The sequence below is a fragment of the Homo sapiens genome, chromosome 12, assembly GCF_000001405.40.
Source record: "Homo sapiens chromosome 12, GRCh38.p14 Primary Assembly".
Lineage (NCBI taxonomy): Eukaryota > Metazoa > Chordata > Mammalia > Primates > Hominidae > Homo > Homo sapiens.
In genome coordinates this window covers 71944135-71959941 of record NC_000012.12, presented here as the reverse complement: position 1 = coordinate 71959941, position 15807 = coordinate 71944135, and the positions used below count along the sequence as shown (strand labels likewise).

At 41.8% G+C, this 15807-nt stretch overlaps 1 protein-coding gene across 2 annotated transcripts in view, besides 2 other annotated features; it reads right to left on the bottom strand.

Moving 5' to 3' along the window:
• Positions 1–15807, bottom strand: part of TPH2 (tryptophan hydroxylase 2) — a 93596-nt gene that overhangs the window by 72499 nt on the left and 5290 nt on the right. For both annotated transcript variants that reach the window (XR_001748575.2, NM_173353.4), the window contains exons 3-5: positions 15465–15648; positions 15256–15356; positions 10287–10354 (exon numbers count right to left, since the gene is read on the bottom strand). Coding sequence is in view for 1 of the 2 variants with exons in the window: in NM_173353.4 (NP_775489.2) it covers positions 10287–10354; positions 15256–15356; positions 15465–15648 (353 nt within the window). In the remaining variant the exon portion in view is untranslated. The remainder of the gene's footprint in view (positions 1–10286; positions 10355–15255; positions 15357–15464; positions 15649–15807) is intronic.
• Positions 789–1290: an enhancer, noted in NCBI's record as "NANOG hESC enhancer chr12:72352432-72352933 (GRCh37/hg19 assembly coordinates)". NCBI's record gives its function as "activates a minimal SCP1, AML or CMV promoter by ChIP-STARR-seq in naive H9 embryonic stem cells {active_cell/tissue: H9 hESC(naive)}" and the evidence as "EXISTENCE:reporter gene assay evidence [ECO:0000049][PMID:30033119]".
• Positions 9867–10725: an enhancer, noted in NCBI's record as "OCT4-NANOG-H3K27ac-H3K4me1 hESC enhancer chr12:72342997-72343855 (GRCh37/hg19 assembly coordinates)". NCBI's record gives its function as "activates a minimal SCP1, AML or CMV promoter by ChIP-STARR-seq in primed H9 embryonic stem cells {active_cell/tissue: H9 hESC(primed)}" and the evidence as "EXISTENCE:reporter gene assay evidence [ECO:0000049][PMID:30033119]".

Genomic DNA, 15807 nt, shown 5'->3' with positions numbered 1-15807 from the left:
CTTCTCAAAAGGGCAGCGAAAGGAAAAAAATTAAAGCTTGGTTTCACATCACAGTAGAGCCTACAATTCATCAAGGTGACCACCTGCCAATGAAATTGATGAGGAAAACATCATTAAAAAGAAAAACTTGCAACGCCCCCCCCAATTAAGTTTTTTTCCCTGTTAAGAAAGCATAACCTTCCCTTCCATTCTTCCTCTACCTTCTACTTGTTATGCTTCCAATTAAGATTCGCCTATCTAAAAATAGGTAATGTGGCACTCACAACTCCTTTAGTAATGTATTCCTTTAAGCTACATTCTGAAACCAAGCAGGATCCATAAATCATGCCTCTTCTCTCATGAAATGAGAAATGCTAAGGTCAACTGAAATTTCTGGAAAGGTGGAGAGGTAGAGCCACCCCAGTTATTTTTCTGCAAGTTGCAATAATTGCAAATGCCTCTTAGGAAAAACTCAGCATCAGTAATCCCCTAGCTCAGACACAAAGCTAAACTGTCACAGCTACCTGCAAGTGGAGAAGCCCTAGTGCGCACAGTACTGAGCACTAGGACGCGAGAAGCAGGGCAGCAAAACAGCTCTACTCCAAGTCTGCAGTCTACCCTTATTAGTCTCTGATCATCTGTCTCTTTCTTTTTCTTTGCAGACCTATGGCTGAGTCATCTAGTGAAAGAGGAAACTGAGAAGACCTCCTAAGAAGTGAGATGCTGGCTTGGAAATCCAATATGTTCATTCCAAGGTACATCCATTCCATATTTATGTATCTACTCAAATATCTTAAAATGCACTGCACAGTACTGAATCTCAGTCCCAGAGGGTTTTGTTTTGACATCATGTAGTACTTGGCAGTATAAGCAGGAAGAGGAGGGTAAAAAAAAAAAAAATGCCCTTCTCTGCTTCGATGAGAATAGAAGGTTAGAATCAACACCACTCCATGTAAAAGGAGAAAATTCTCTGTCTCTCTGATAGAGCTGAGTAGAATATTCACAAGCTCACCCAAATTGAATGTGCCTGCTGAGCTGGTGATTGCATTTTTCAGATATGCTAGTCCTCTGTTGGAGCTGTTTTGTTTTAGGGTCTCTGTTTAGCTGTGTACTTACACTCAGAGCAAATGAATCACAAAGGGTGCAATTTTATAAATAAAAAAATCAAGAAATAGATAAGCTAGCAACTAGTAAAAACCAGAGTGACACATCCCTGGCAATTGATTTTCAAGCCTCAGCCCAGCTGTGTTTATTTCCATTCATTCTGTATCTCACGAGGGTCAGGCTTTGGGTAGGAGGAGAATAGCATGGGGCCTGGGAGAGAGGGAAAAATCACCACACAGAATGGAGACATGGTTCTGCCATGCCAGACCCTGGCAGATGTCCCCAACAACCTGCGAGAAACAGGTTTGCAGTGTCACAGGACTGGTTTGAGTTCTGAGTCCATAAAATTCTAAGTGTATTAAATACTTACAAGGATGGTGCATTTCAAATATGCTGAGAATTCTGTAAGGAGAATAACTTTTACAAATGCCAAGTCACTTAGTTCTGTCACTGTTATTCCCAACTTGTGTATGAAACCACCTATGTCAAGTGGAAGTTGCTGAAGCCACTTCAGAAAACAAAAAAGAAAACGGTGTGGACTTTTGAGCAGACATTTAGATTCTACCAGAGGCATTCTTGGAACCTCTAAAAGTGACCTTACTCAGAAACTATTCTGGCCATCCAGGAAATGACCCTAGTACTATAAATATTTGCTTCAGTTCTGCTCTTCAATTTACTGCTCCATTTCAGAGGAATTTTAAGCATCTATACCTGGTGTTTCATGCAAGTGGCACAATCAGCTGTGTAACCTTTAGTAAGTTTCTTAATGTCTCCGAAGATCAGTTTCCTCATCTTCAAAGTGCGTACAATAATGGCACCTACCTCAAGGGCTCGTTGTGTGGTTAAATGACAGAAAATCAAGTGACACGTTTAACACAGTGCAGGATCTAAGAAAAGGAACCTAATACAATCTGAAAGTGTTAGCTGAGAGGTCAACATAATGAACATTTTTACCAAAATGAGCCATTCAGGGATGAGTCCAACATAGCCCTGTTGCGAGCTTATCCTCCAACCTTATTCTGGCTGAGACACATTGACCTGGGAAGGCCTTTGAGGGGGCAATTTTCCAGATTAAAGAAGCAAACTATGTGCATGATTTATGTGAAGCTGGGAGGTCCCCTCACACACACACCCACACACCCCTATTTTTTAAAAGTTCCTTTAACCCAGCCCATTATGGAGCCTGAAATTCCTTAATTCAATTACTCCTTAAGATCCTTTAGAGTCTGGTGCAGTGGCTTACAATTATAATCCCATCACTTTGGGAGGCCGAGGCAGGAGGATTGTTTGAGGCCAGAGTTCAAGACTAGCCTGGGCAACATAGTGAGACCTGTGTCTCTACAAAATATGAAAAATTAGCCAGATATGGTGGCACACACCTGTAGTCCCAGCAACTCAAGAGGCTGAGGTGGGAGGATCACTTGAGCCTGGGAGGTGGAGGCTGCAGTGACCCATGAGCATGACACTGCACTCCAGCCTGGGTGACCAGAGCGAGATCCTGTCTCACAAAAAAAAAAAAAAAAAAAAAAAATCCTTTACTCATTTTAAATGAGCCTAACAATTGATTATATGAAATTGAAGAACAATTAGCTATTTACCACATGACACTAATAATCATATCTATCATAGATTTAATATCTCCTTGTGCCAGTCAGCACTCTGAGTCCTGTAATCATTGCTAATCCTCCCAATCATGCAAGGTGTTGTGCCCATTTTAAGATGACAGCTTGAGAATTAGAGAGACTAGGTCACTGCCCATGACCACAGAGCTTTTAAGTGGTAGAGCGGGAATTCAAACCTAATTCTGTCTAGCTCCAAATCCTATACATTCTGCCACATCTTCTGCTACACCATGCTACCTCTTCTTTCATAGGGATTAGTTGTACAGATAGCACATTAGCTCCCACTGTGGGAGAGCAGTTAAAAAGTGTCATAAAGAAATGAAATGGGGCCAGCCACAGTGGCTCACACCTGTAATCCTAGCACTTTGGGAGGCCAAGGCAGACAGATTGCTTGAGCCCAAGAGTCTGAGACCAGCCTGGGCAACACGGGGAAACCCCATCTCTACAAAAGATACAAAAATTAGCCAGGCATGATGGCATGCACCTGTGGTCCCAGCTACTCGGGAGGCTGAGGCAGGAGGATCACCTGAGCCCGATAGGTCAAGGTTGCAGTGAGCTAAAATCATACCACTGCACTCCAGCTCAGGCAACAGAGTGAGACCCTGTTTCAAAAAAAGGAAGGAAGGAGAGAAAGAGGGAAGGAGGGAAAGAGGGAAGGAAGGAGGGAAAGAAGGAAGGAAGGAGGGAAGGAGGGAAGGAGGGAAAGAAGGAGGGAAGGAGGGAAGGAGGGAGGGAGGGAAAGAAGGAGGGAAGGAGGGAAGGAGGGAAGGAAGGAAGGAAGAAAGGGAGGAAGGGAGGAAGGGAGGGAGGGAGGGAGAGAGGGAAGGAGAGGGAGGGAGGGAACAAGTTAAATGAATGTGGTACCCAACCTCCCAGATGGTCCTCAGTGAACCCTGACTCCTGATATTCATGCCCATGTGTAATCCCTTCCCACAGTGTGTCACAGTTGGTCTATGAATCTAATGGATACAGCAAGAGTGATGGTGTGTCACTTCCAATGCTAGGTTATAAAAGGCATTATAGATTCTGCCTTGCTCACTCTCTTGGATCACATGATTTGGGAGAAGCCAGCTACAGTATCTTGAAGATATTCAGGCTGCCTGGTAGAGAGGCCACGTTGCTAAACACTGACGCCTCCTGCAAACAGCCCTATGAGTAACCATATTGGAAGCAGGTCCTCTGGCCCTAGTCAAGCCTTTGGATGATGGTTTCCCTGGTCAACAGTTTGCTTTATGAGAGACCCTAATCTAGAACCCTCCAGCTAGGCTGTTCCCTAATTCTTGATACTCAGAAACTATGTGAGATAATAAATGTTTGTTGTTTTAAGGTGCTAAATTTGAGGATTATTTTTTATGTATCAATAACTAATATAGTGTAAAAATCAGACAGAAGTCAGGATTATACAAAAGCCTTGGCCGAGGGGAGTGGAGAAGACTGGCAACCAAAGGGTAATAAAATGATTTGGAGCATGAGGACAGACAAAAAGAAGAGATCATCTGAAGTGAGAAAATAACAATATTATTAAATATTTATATAGCACATGTAGTGTTCTAAGTTTTGTTACTATATTCGCTCATGTAATCCACATAACAATCCTATAAAGTAGTACTAGAGTTATCCTCATTTTACAGATAAGGAAACTGAGGTACAGAAGATTTAAACAATTTGCCCAGGTCACTCAGTTAGTAAATGGTAAAGCTGGGATTCACCCCAGGCAGTGCAGCTCCGACTTTTGACACTTAACAGCTTCACACGCTGCCTCTCAGATCTAAAGAAAAACAGGAAAAGCAGCCAAGGCCTTTATGTTGTCAGGGGTCTGAGTAAACCCCATGCCTTTGGTCTAGATTGTTTGATTCTTGTTTTAATAAGGATAACAAAGTACATTGTATAGCAATGCCCCACTTACTTCACTTAATCCTTAAAAAAACCTCCCAGGAGAGGCCGAAGAGATAGTTTTGTCTCCATTTTACAGAGGAGAAAAACTGAGGCTGAGCAATGTTAAGGGATGATTTGAATCGGTGAATTTTAAATCAAATGAGTTTTCTTGGCAAATTAAGGAATTGTCCAACTCTAACCTAAATTAGAGTTGGAAATTCTAACATGTTGAAACTCTCTTGTTTACCTTACCTATTGACAGTTGTAGTTGCCTATTTACATTTCAGATTCCATGGATAAAAATAAATAAATCAAAGAGGAAGCAGCCCCATGAGAAGAACATGAGGTTCATGGGCTACCTTACTTTCAACCAGGAGTAGGTACATTCATAATAAAACACAATCACAATAATATTCAAAATCAATTTAAGCAAACAAGAGTGGCATAATTAAAGTAGGAGCTCAGGGCCTCTTTCCAAGAGAATAAGATGGATTGAAATAACTACCACCATCCCCACGAAAAAAAAAATTAAATATGCATGCATATTGTTGAGGAATAATCATTGTAACAGCCCCCAAAAGAAAAATGTGTTTATTTCTAGTCAATTGAAAAAACGTATCACTGATTGTTCCCCCAACAATATAGTAATTGTGAAGTCCACAGAAATGCAGCAATGTTAATGCTGAGATTCAAATATGAAGGCACTAAAGAGAGAAAACTGGACAGTTTCAGACAAACCTAACAACTACTACATCGCAGTCATAATTTCCTCTTCCTCCACAGGCTATCTGCCCCCCACACACTTCCATTTCCTCTGAACTGCAAGTCTATATGCACATCACATTATCTAATCATGGGGTACTTTTTTCCTGTTTATACTAGAATTTATTTTATTTGGGCGGGGGAGGAGAGGCATGATCTGCGTGTTAGACATTCTCTCACAGATGATTTTAGAAAGTGTCCTCTCGATACAGGGCGTTCATTCTCAGATCTTCTATGAAGAATGATATTTGCACTAATGAGTGTTTCCTGCGCTATTATTGGTGAGGCAATTAGGCCTTCCCACACTCATGTCTGCAGGCTGCTGTGGGCCTCTGGGTAATCAATCATGTTTCTCAGCAGCACTGTCAATCAGAAGCTCGCCTGAGTGGCATCTATCGACAGTTAGCATGCCGGCGCTTTCCCGCCCCCTCTCCTCTTTCGGGTTCATGGTAATACAGACTTTGAGCCTGCTGTTTTTTCATCATAGAGTGGAATTTTTTCATTTTTCTCTGCTTGTGTTTATTCTTCCCCCCTGATTTATCCTTTCAAGAATATCACAGAAAATATAGTATTCAACACGAATCCCCCAGAGGGCTTCTTGGTTGTGGTTTCAATATATATTATTCTGTATTTCATTTCTTTGCCTTCTCCTTACCTTTAGACAACTCAAACTATATCCTGCTAACCCCTATTACAACCCCAAAATATCCATACTCCATCTTTCTCTGTATTTCTGACCACATGTTTGACTTCTTCTTCTTGTCCAGAAAGTCTTAACTAATTATCAACAGGGAATTGAATTGTTCTCCGCCTGCCAGCATGGTCCCTAATTTTATCACCAAACTATATTTGCGAGGACTGCATACGCCAGATTTTTCAAAACTACCCCAATCTCAAATGATCTATCCCTTGGACAAAGTGGTTCTAAACATCAGTTTGGAAAATCAGGTTGTTGCACACTTAAATGAGATTATTTTAAGTAATTATGGTATTCACGTCACTCTCCTTTATGTACTCAGAAAACCATCAGCACTAGAAAAATACCTATTTCAATTAGAAATTGCGTCTCTGTTTCCTATAAACTGAAGGGAAACCTTACTTGCTACATGGCAGCCTGGAGAAAATGGACAAGGCCCATTTGGAATTCGTTAGTATCTGTGCCCCACCCCCACCAGCACCATGGCAGGCACAAGAGCCCAAAAGTGACACACAGGACTGTCTCTCTCTTATCCATCCTCAAACTCATACTCAGAGAAACTTTAGCAATGACAGCATGCGGGGCATTAAGGAATGATCCTTGGCTCTACTTCCCACAAGTCCTGGGTTCGTGCTTTCCTGATTTAACTACCTTTGGTAGGCACCTTCCTCAGTTCATCCACTCACAAGAAGTACTGGCAGTCTGTATTTTGGCAGCTTCCCATGTGCAAAAAAAAAAAAGCAGGGAAAAGGGGGTGGGGAGGAATATGACTGCTTTTTATGAAATCTCTCTGTAAAGAGGAATGTGGGTCAACACAAAATACTTCTGTATATGCAACAGCCCTTCAATGGGAAACTAAACAGTTTCTTCCAAGAATGTTTTGAGCTACATTATTTGTAAATGGCATATAAACAACGGTATTAACATCACTAAAGAAGAAAACAGTAGGTCCACTGGAAATGGAAGACAGCCTGTGGAAATGGTCTGGGGAGATGTATTAAACCTAATAATATAAGTGACATTTATAATCATTGGTCATGTGTTGGGCGATGTGTGAGGTACAGCACATGCATTCTCTGTTTTAGTTCTTAATACAACCCTGTGAAATGGGTCTTATTGTTGGGCACACTTCCCAGATGAAGCAGCCTTGGCACAATGAGGTTGCACATCTGGCTTGGAGGAGAGGAGTGCACACAAGCCCAGACTATTGGAGTCCAATGCTGCAGTTTTTAAGCATGCTGTTATCCTGCCTAGGTCAGTCTGGGCTCAGCACCATCCAGGGGAGAGGGCTATAATTCCCTGGATTCTAAGCTCTCTTAGGTAAATACCCTTTGCTTTGACTTGACTCTGCATCCACCAAGTAGCCTAAGGTTATAATCTGGCCTCCTCTGCTATCATGACTATAAGGATCATTTTGTGAGTCCTATGAGGGTTGTTTCTCACTATAAAATGATGAATTGGCCATTTCCTGGCTCTCTTGGCTTCCTGAACATTCAGTTACCAACAGCCAGGCCCCTTGAACCTTAGCACTTCCCAGCCCTCCAAACTGGGACCAGATCCTGGAATGCCCCAGCTCCATCCAGCCCTCTTTTGTGTAAATGTCCACCAGTTTCTCCAATCTCTACTTTTTTTTCTCTACAGACATCACACCTTCATCTTACTCTTTAGCTATGCAAAGGTGGCAAACGCAAACTCTTGTTAACACTTTGAGAACCTCACTCTCCATCATTTTGACTATATGCTCATTTTCTGTCCTCTCCATATAAATATGTTTTCTTTAAAACCAAATGACTCCTCATTACCAAAGTTCCATGAAACTGGTTGACTCATATATTCTACTTGTATCACCACAACATCAGCTTGCCTTTGTTTAGCTTTTGAATTCTATCAAGAAGAAATAAGTAACCCTTGAGCTAGTCCCTTAGTCTTGGCTCACTGCAACCTCTGCCTCCCAGGTTCAAGCGATTCTCCTGCCTCAGCCTCCCAAGTAGCTGGGATTACAGGCATGCACCACCATGCCTGGTTAATTTTGTATATTCAGTAGAGACAGGGTTTCTCCATGTTGGTCAGGCTGGTCTTGAACTCCTGACCTCAGGTGATCTGCCTGCCTCAGCCTCCCAAAGTGCTGAGATTACAGGCATGAGCCACTGTACCCGGCCGAAATCATGTCATTTTATACACACACACACACACACACACATGCACACACACACATACATAAAACATATAGCATCTACATATAAAATACATTTTCTGGCCAAGCACAATGGCAAACACCTATAATCCCAATAGTTTGGGAGGCCAAGGCAGGAGGATCACTTGAGCCCAGGAGTTTGAGAACAGTCAGAGCAACAAAGCAAAACCCTGTCAAAAATACAAAAAGTAAATTTTAAAAATTAGCTGGGCATGGTGGCACACACCTGTAGTCCCAGCTACTCAGGAGGCAGACTGAGTGACGAAGCTATCTACTTTATCTAAGGGAAAAGGCTCTGCCAGGCATTGAGCTTCTACCATGTTCTGGCTGGTCATGCTACAAAGAACTGCCCTGCCCACACCCCCTCTAAGGATCCACCTTTACAGTCATGACCTGATTCCGCAGAAGGAGCCTGTGGACCAGGGGAAGCCAATCATAAGGCTCACAACCATCATCAGGGCCTGAGGTGAAAATGTGAGCTCAGCCCATCCGAGTCCTCTCTTGGCAATTTAATCAGGAAACACTGGGACATGGGGCTAGCGGGGGTGGTACTGAGGGTAAGAAGGGGGCCTGAGGTTGGGCTTGGGCTAGGGCAAGTGCATGCTGACATTGCAAGGTGTGGAAAGTCACAGTAGAGAGGGGAAAGAAGCTGCTTAGAACAGAGGAGATGAGAATAGGCACATGTGAAAGGACATGTGCCATGTGGTCCTGGTTTTTAAGAACATTGTTTTCCTAAATGTCGTGGAGAAAGGACGAAGGATGCCTGGGACTTGGGAGGATGAAGGGAAGAGCACCTAAGCATCAAAGGAAGCTAGGGATGCCCAGTGAGAGGTGGGATGAAGAATCTTCTCATCTGTCTTAAGCACCATGGGTCAAATCCCTTTTTATAAACAAAGCCCACACTGAGACCCTCTATAACACACGTAATGTTCTAAACTTTCACCAGTGAAAAATTCGCCTCACAGGACAGTCAAGTTTCACACCTACTCTCAATTGGGGTAGGACGAATCTTTCCCTTACGAGATGGATTTGCATTTTGTTCTGATGACAAGTTTCCTGTAGCTTGATCAATCATACCAGACAGAGGAAAGAGAGCATTGTGATGATCTATGAGTTATACTAGCATGAGTAGAACAAACACAGGCCTAACCACCACTGCATTTTTCTAAACATGGCCTGCAGTCAACATACAACACCATTTCCAGTCACAAACACATCCTGTCACTGTCAGGCCTCTGAGCCCAAGCTAAGCCTACTGAGCACCTTGTAACCCCCACTCTGCCCACCAGAGAACAACCCCCCTTTGACTGTAATTTTCCTTTATTGACCCAAATCCTATAAAATGGCCCCACCCTTATCTCCCTTCGCTGACTCTCTTTTCGGACTCAGCCCACCTGCACCCAGGTGAAATCAACAGCTTTATTGCTCACACAAAGCCTGTTTGGTGGTCTCTTCACACGGATGCGAGTGAAAGTCACTGCCACTTAGCATCATGTACTATGCACAGTCCTCACCCCGAAGTTAGGTCCTCCTCTTCCATCCCAACTCTGATCTGGGAATGGGTGTGAAACTCCTTCATAACCCCTGCAGTTTACAGGAAGTTTTCCTCTCCATGTAAAACAAACACATGTCTTCTCTATTACGGCTCCTTAACTGAGCCCTTTCACCGTTCTTGCTGAATCCTCTACTTTCATCGGGGAAGCAGGAGACTGAAGGGGGTTACTGAAAAGTCAAGGCTAAAGTAAAATTAAAATTAAAACACAGTTTCTAAGGCCTGCAGAGTGCACAGAAATGGTCTTTGTCTTGGTGGAGCTGGAAACAATGGTGTAAACGTAGCACTTGGCATGTGGCTCACAGGTCTCATTATTTTACAATTATACCCAGATGTCAAACATCAGTGTTGGCATTTAAAGCCTACAGAGTTGGTGAGTGTTTAAAATGGTTCACACCTGCTTTCTGCAAAAGTTAAAGTGAAGAGATGACAGGTTTGTTTAACACAGCATGTGTTTTTCCTAACTAGCCAGTGACAAGAAAGAGTTATACAGGTACTTACTATTTATAACCCATGGCCACATCCACAAAATACTTTCTTCTCTGTCGATAGACATTGTCCTTAAATCCCTTAAACACAAAAAAGATTAAGTTATTTAACAAAGTGCTGAAAATTAGCTGCAGAAGACCTAAAAGAAAATCACTGTGGTGTCTGAGTGTTCAATTCATATGTAAATCTTATCCTAGGATGGCCATCTTGATGACACAGACAGAAACAAATTGTGCTTACAGTAAAACCTCATTAAATTGGGGCTATACTAATTTAGGATGTGTGGCAATTCAGGCTAAAGTTTACCTTTCCACTAAGTAAGCAGAATGGCTTAGTTGAGCAAATTGATATTGTGAACAATACCTTTAGGTTTTCAAATATCATTTGCATGTAATTGATCTTAATCACAAATTAATCCTATCCTATTCATTAAAACAGATCCCTTTAACATGATTATTCAGTAACTTAACCTAATTTTAATTGCTTTGTATAAATAACTAATAAATGTGACATTTATTATAAATTCTATCATTTAGAATAATAGACACATTCCCAAATTAGTATGAATTAAAGAGGTTTTGCTGTATTTTATGACTACAGCCACATAATGCAAAATCGATTTTAGGGAATTCATGCACAGGACAGAAGCCTGGCACCATTTCACTCTGACTTCTTATAATTCTAGTTAGTCTTAGCCAACTTCAAGATTTTTATCCATCATCAGCCACTTGGGAAATTAAACATTATGTCTGTCATTTTTCAGTCAAGTGAAATCCTTCAGAGAGGACTTCTTGGTTTACCCAAAAATCTCTCCTCTTGTCAACAGACTTTCCATTTTCCTTTCCTTTAAGCACTTTCAGACAATCAATTCTTTCCAGGGTTGTTTCTTCTAGCTGTTGGAAGCTCAGAAGGAGTTATTGCAATTTGACTCCTACCACTACAGCCCTGCAACCTGGAAGGATAACCAGGAAGCAATGGCTTGCTAAGAATGGAGTCCAGGCAAGGAGACAAGCCACTGGGATCATGGCACTGGAGAGTGAAGAACAGGGTGAGGCCCACAAAGGCCTAGACTACCTCTGCTGAACCTAAGACAGCTCTGCAAGATGGGCCGCTCAAGAGGAGCCTCAAACTCATTAGCAAATCGCCCCTCTCTTGCCTGGCTGGAGAGAACTGGCCTCGAGGCTAGAAATCTTCACAGGGCTGTCTGCTTGACAGAAATGAAGAACTTCCATTGTCAACAACCTTTCTTTCAGGAATGACAAGAGAGTTACTAAGGGGAGGAGAGAGAAGATGCCCTGAGACCACCTTAACACCATGTAGAAATGAAGTATCCTCTGTCCAAGAAACTAGCACTTTCTTTTACTGTGAATTGGGAGTTTTTAAACTGGGGTTCATAGGCAGGCTTGTGAAGTCCTAAAATGTCTATATAAAAAATTTTACAAAATACTTACCACAGTCCTTGAAGTTTGGGTATTTGGTAAAAAATAATAATAATAATAATAAAATAAAATAAATAGTTACCACATTCACAAATAGATCTGTGCCCTTTAAAAAGGTCTCCTGCTGGAGAGGGTAGATGCAGTCATGCTAGAAAGTACTTGTTTCAACACTCACTAGTAAAACCAGGCTACTTGAGATGGTAAAACCAAAGAATTCCAAGCACCTTTATTATTCAAAAAGAAAACAGGCCATGACAAAAGGAAAAGCGTCCTGTGAAAAGCACAGCATCTGTTCCCCGGTTCCTGCCAGACTGGACACCATGGTAACGGCATCATAATCTGCTGGGCCTCCTGAAGAATCTCAACTGCCTCTCTTCTGCAAACACCTGCACCTTTTCCAAGGACGCAAGAGAGCGATTTACTCATCATGCCTCATTAGCTTAGTGTGGCGGTGATTACGCAAATGTTGTGGGCGATCCAGAACTTCCTGGATTGAACCATGGACTGGCAAAGTAAACTAGGGACGCTAGCTGCACTAGTAGTGACAGAGAAACAGCATTCCTTGGCCATCCATTCTGAACTGAAGCCAGGGATAGGGTTACCGGATAAAACACAGGGCACTCAGTTAAATTTGAATTTCAGATAAACAACAAATAATCTTTTTAGTATAAATATGTTCCAAGTATTGCATGGGACATACTTATACCACAAAACTACTCCTTATTTATCTGAAACTCAAATTTAACTGGGCATCCTAGATATTTATTTGCTAAATCTGGCAACCCTAGCAGCCAGAGAGTACCCACCCTCCCTCTCTCAATTGAAATCAAAGGAAATTGAAGACCCAGCCTGAACTCTAAAGTGCTCAGCTAAATTTGTGTTGACACTCAATTAGCTACCCCAAATAGGTCAACAGTGATGGAATATTAGAATCACCTGGGAGCTTTAAATAATACATCAAACCTGGCCACATTCCCAGAGGCCCTGGCATCAGTATTTTTTAATTCTCCACATGTGATGTGAATGGAAAGCTAGGGATGAGAATCGCTGAGCTGGAACATTAATTAAGACATTAGTTCTCAAACTTTAGATCTCATCAGGATCCCCTGCAGATACCTTGAAATGCAGATTCCTGGGCCATCCCTGAAAGTTCTGACTCAGTAGGCTTCAGATGAGCATCAAGATATTGTATTTTTAACAAACACCTTATGAGTGAACCTTGAACCCCCACTTCGAAAGACCTTCCCAGTCTAGATGCTGGCTCCTCAAAGTGTGGTCCCAAGACCCTCTGGTGCAAGCCTTATCTGGGAGATCACCAGAAATAGAATCCCAGGCCCTACAGACTCATTATCTGCATTTAAAAATGATCTCGAAGGTGATTAGTTTGCCCCCTGAGGTTTGAGAGGCACTGACCTAGATATTTAACCCTTTCTAGGGAGCCTCGGCAACCTTACTCTTATATTCCAAGCCCCTTCTGAAGTATCCTATCACAACGGTCCCTGTGTTTGTCTCAGGACTGGGATTATTCCCAGGCAGAAAAAGTGCTTAGACAACTTTTCCATCCTCATCAAACAACTTACAAAAACACCAATTTGCCAATATCACATTCTGTATAATGAACATTTGGTGTGCGTATAAAAGAAATATATGCGGTTTAAAAAATGACAAGAGAGGGGATTGCTAAGTGCTTGCAATTATTTCAAGTGGCTGCACAGAAAATAAGAGAAGGTATCATAAGGTGGGTATAATTAGGAGTAATGGAATAAAATTAAGCACAGGAAAATTTATGCTGGGTATTGGAATAAATTTTTTCTCAGCAAGGTCAGTGGTTCCTATGGTTGTTCCATTAAAATGGCTGAACTCCTTTCTCCAGGTTGAGTAATTTTCAAACTAGACTAAGGGGAGCATTTGGAAATAGGAGGTTATCAAAAAATCCTTTAGTGTCCAGGCATTGATCCGGATGATTTAATACAGCATTTCTATTTCTGGAATTAAGCATTTACTCTTGCCAAATGCTTTCCAGTTGTTTTATTAACTAGGCTTTTCAAACACCCCTTTGAGGTCAGTAACAATTTTATTTCCACTTTTTACATAAAGAACTTGAGGTGCAGAGGTAAAGGGACTTGGCCAAGGTCATTCTGCAAGTTAACAGCTGGTGTCTGTGCAGCCCGGGTACTGCTTAGCTCCTACGTCAGGTTCCCGTGCTAATTCTGATGCCTTCTGGAAGTTGAGAGAGGGGAAAGATAACAATGGGTGATTACTAAAGCTATTTTTTAATGTTTTTCTAATGTTCAGAAGCCTTACATGTGAATTACTGGAAAATATTCTGAAATTTTAGGCTATGTTAGCAAATATAACACATTGTTTCTTTGAGAGAATTCAGCTTTTTGAAAATAATGCAATTGAATTAGGTCTGTTTGACCATTTGTTTGAATGGTATATTTGAATTGGTCTGAGTTGGTATATTATGTCAAATGACTGGTTTAATTGAAGATTTCCCTAGGGTTAAAGTTGTCATAGTTTCCTTTAAAACAGGGGTTCTCAAACTTAAGGGCGGGCTTGTTAAAACAAATTCCCAGGTGATACTGACACTGCTGATGTTGGGGTCGCACTTAGAGAGCCACTGCGCAGAGTATAGCCACACTGCCAAACCCCCAGATTTCCTCAGTTTAAACAGCAAGGAATGTCTGTAAACTACTACCTGCAGACCACAGAGGCACCCTGTAAGCGTTAGTGATCTGCTTGGGTTTCACTCTTTTATCTGCCCATTTTTAGACAAGGGGCACTGGGGGAGGGAAAAAATGCCTATAATGAATGGGTGCATTGCTTACTTCTCCCAGACTATTAACTGTACTTCACTCTGGCCATAAAGAAGTTCCAGGTCTCTTGTGTTAAATAAAAACAGATGTAAAAGGGGGAAGGGGAGAATAATGGGAAATGCTTACCCAAGTATCATATTTCTTTACAGATGGTCATTTTTATTGGAGTAGAGGAAAGAATGATGGTAGATAGATTCAGGGTAGATGTGGGAAGAGATATGTCTTCCATCATAGCCTTTATTCTAAAACTCTCTACCTTTCCATTGAGACTGAAGTCAACTACATTACTCTACTCCTAACTACCTCCAGTCAAGGAAAATAGCAGGAAGAATTTTATTCTCTCACTGAGCCCCATAATACCTAGTCCTCCCTAGTTTCCCAGAGGCATGATCAATTTCAGTTCATCGTTTTTCCAAGGATCACCATCTGCAGGTATATTTCAGGCTGTCTAATTCCACAGAAATATTCTCCAAGGTTTAGCGTCTCCTCCTCTATCCAACCCTTTTAAAAATAAATGCTATGTGAAAATACCATCCTTCTAACCCGCTTCCAGTCAACACGTGTACAGGGAAGCTTTATCATTTGGAAGTCTGCTCTCAGTTATGGGGAATAAATAATAAATTGTTCTATAATAAAGCATTGCAGCACAGAACATGGCACAGTGCCTGGCACATGGGTGGAGCTGAAAGAGCATGTGAGAAATAGATTTTACTGGACACTTACTGGGTGGTCAGCATCAAGCTCAGAACCATACATGAGAACTCTGTGAGAGCATTTGTCTAACTCAGAGATCTTCCGAGGGAACCAGGGCACATCCTCTAGCTCTGTTGAAAACAGTGCAGGTTCAAAAATATTAGTTCACAGATTGTGTTTTCCCCTTTGCAATATTTGTCAGATTGCAAAGTTACCCGACAAGCTAAGACCACCCTTGCCTTCTTCCTCTGTCCAAATGTTCTCTGGAGGATTCAGCGTCACAATAGTGGTTTGAAATTTCAGCAACTGAATGAGCTCATTGAATTCTGTTTTCCCACACTCACAGTCCACAAAGATTTCAACCTCAGAACTTCTTCGCCGAGATTTCCTGGATTCAATATGAACCATGTTGACACGTTTTTCCTGTGGAAACACGAGCATCTGAAAATCACCTTCAGGGACAATAAAAGGAATGCCATGAGCTTTTCTTGTTCACATCTTAAGCAAGGTGCCAAGTACCCACACAAGAGGAAGAGACAATCTCTTTGTTCTTTGAATAAAACTTGGAAATGTTTCCAACCA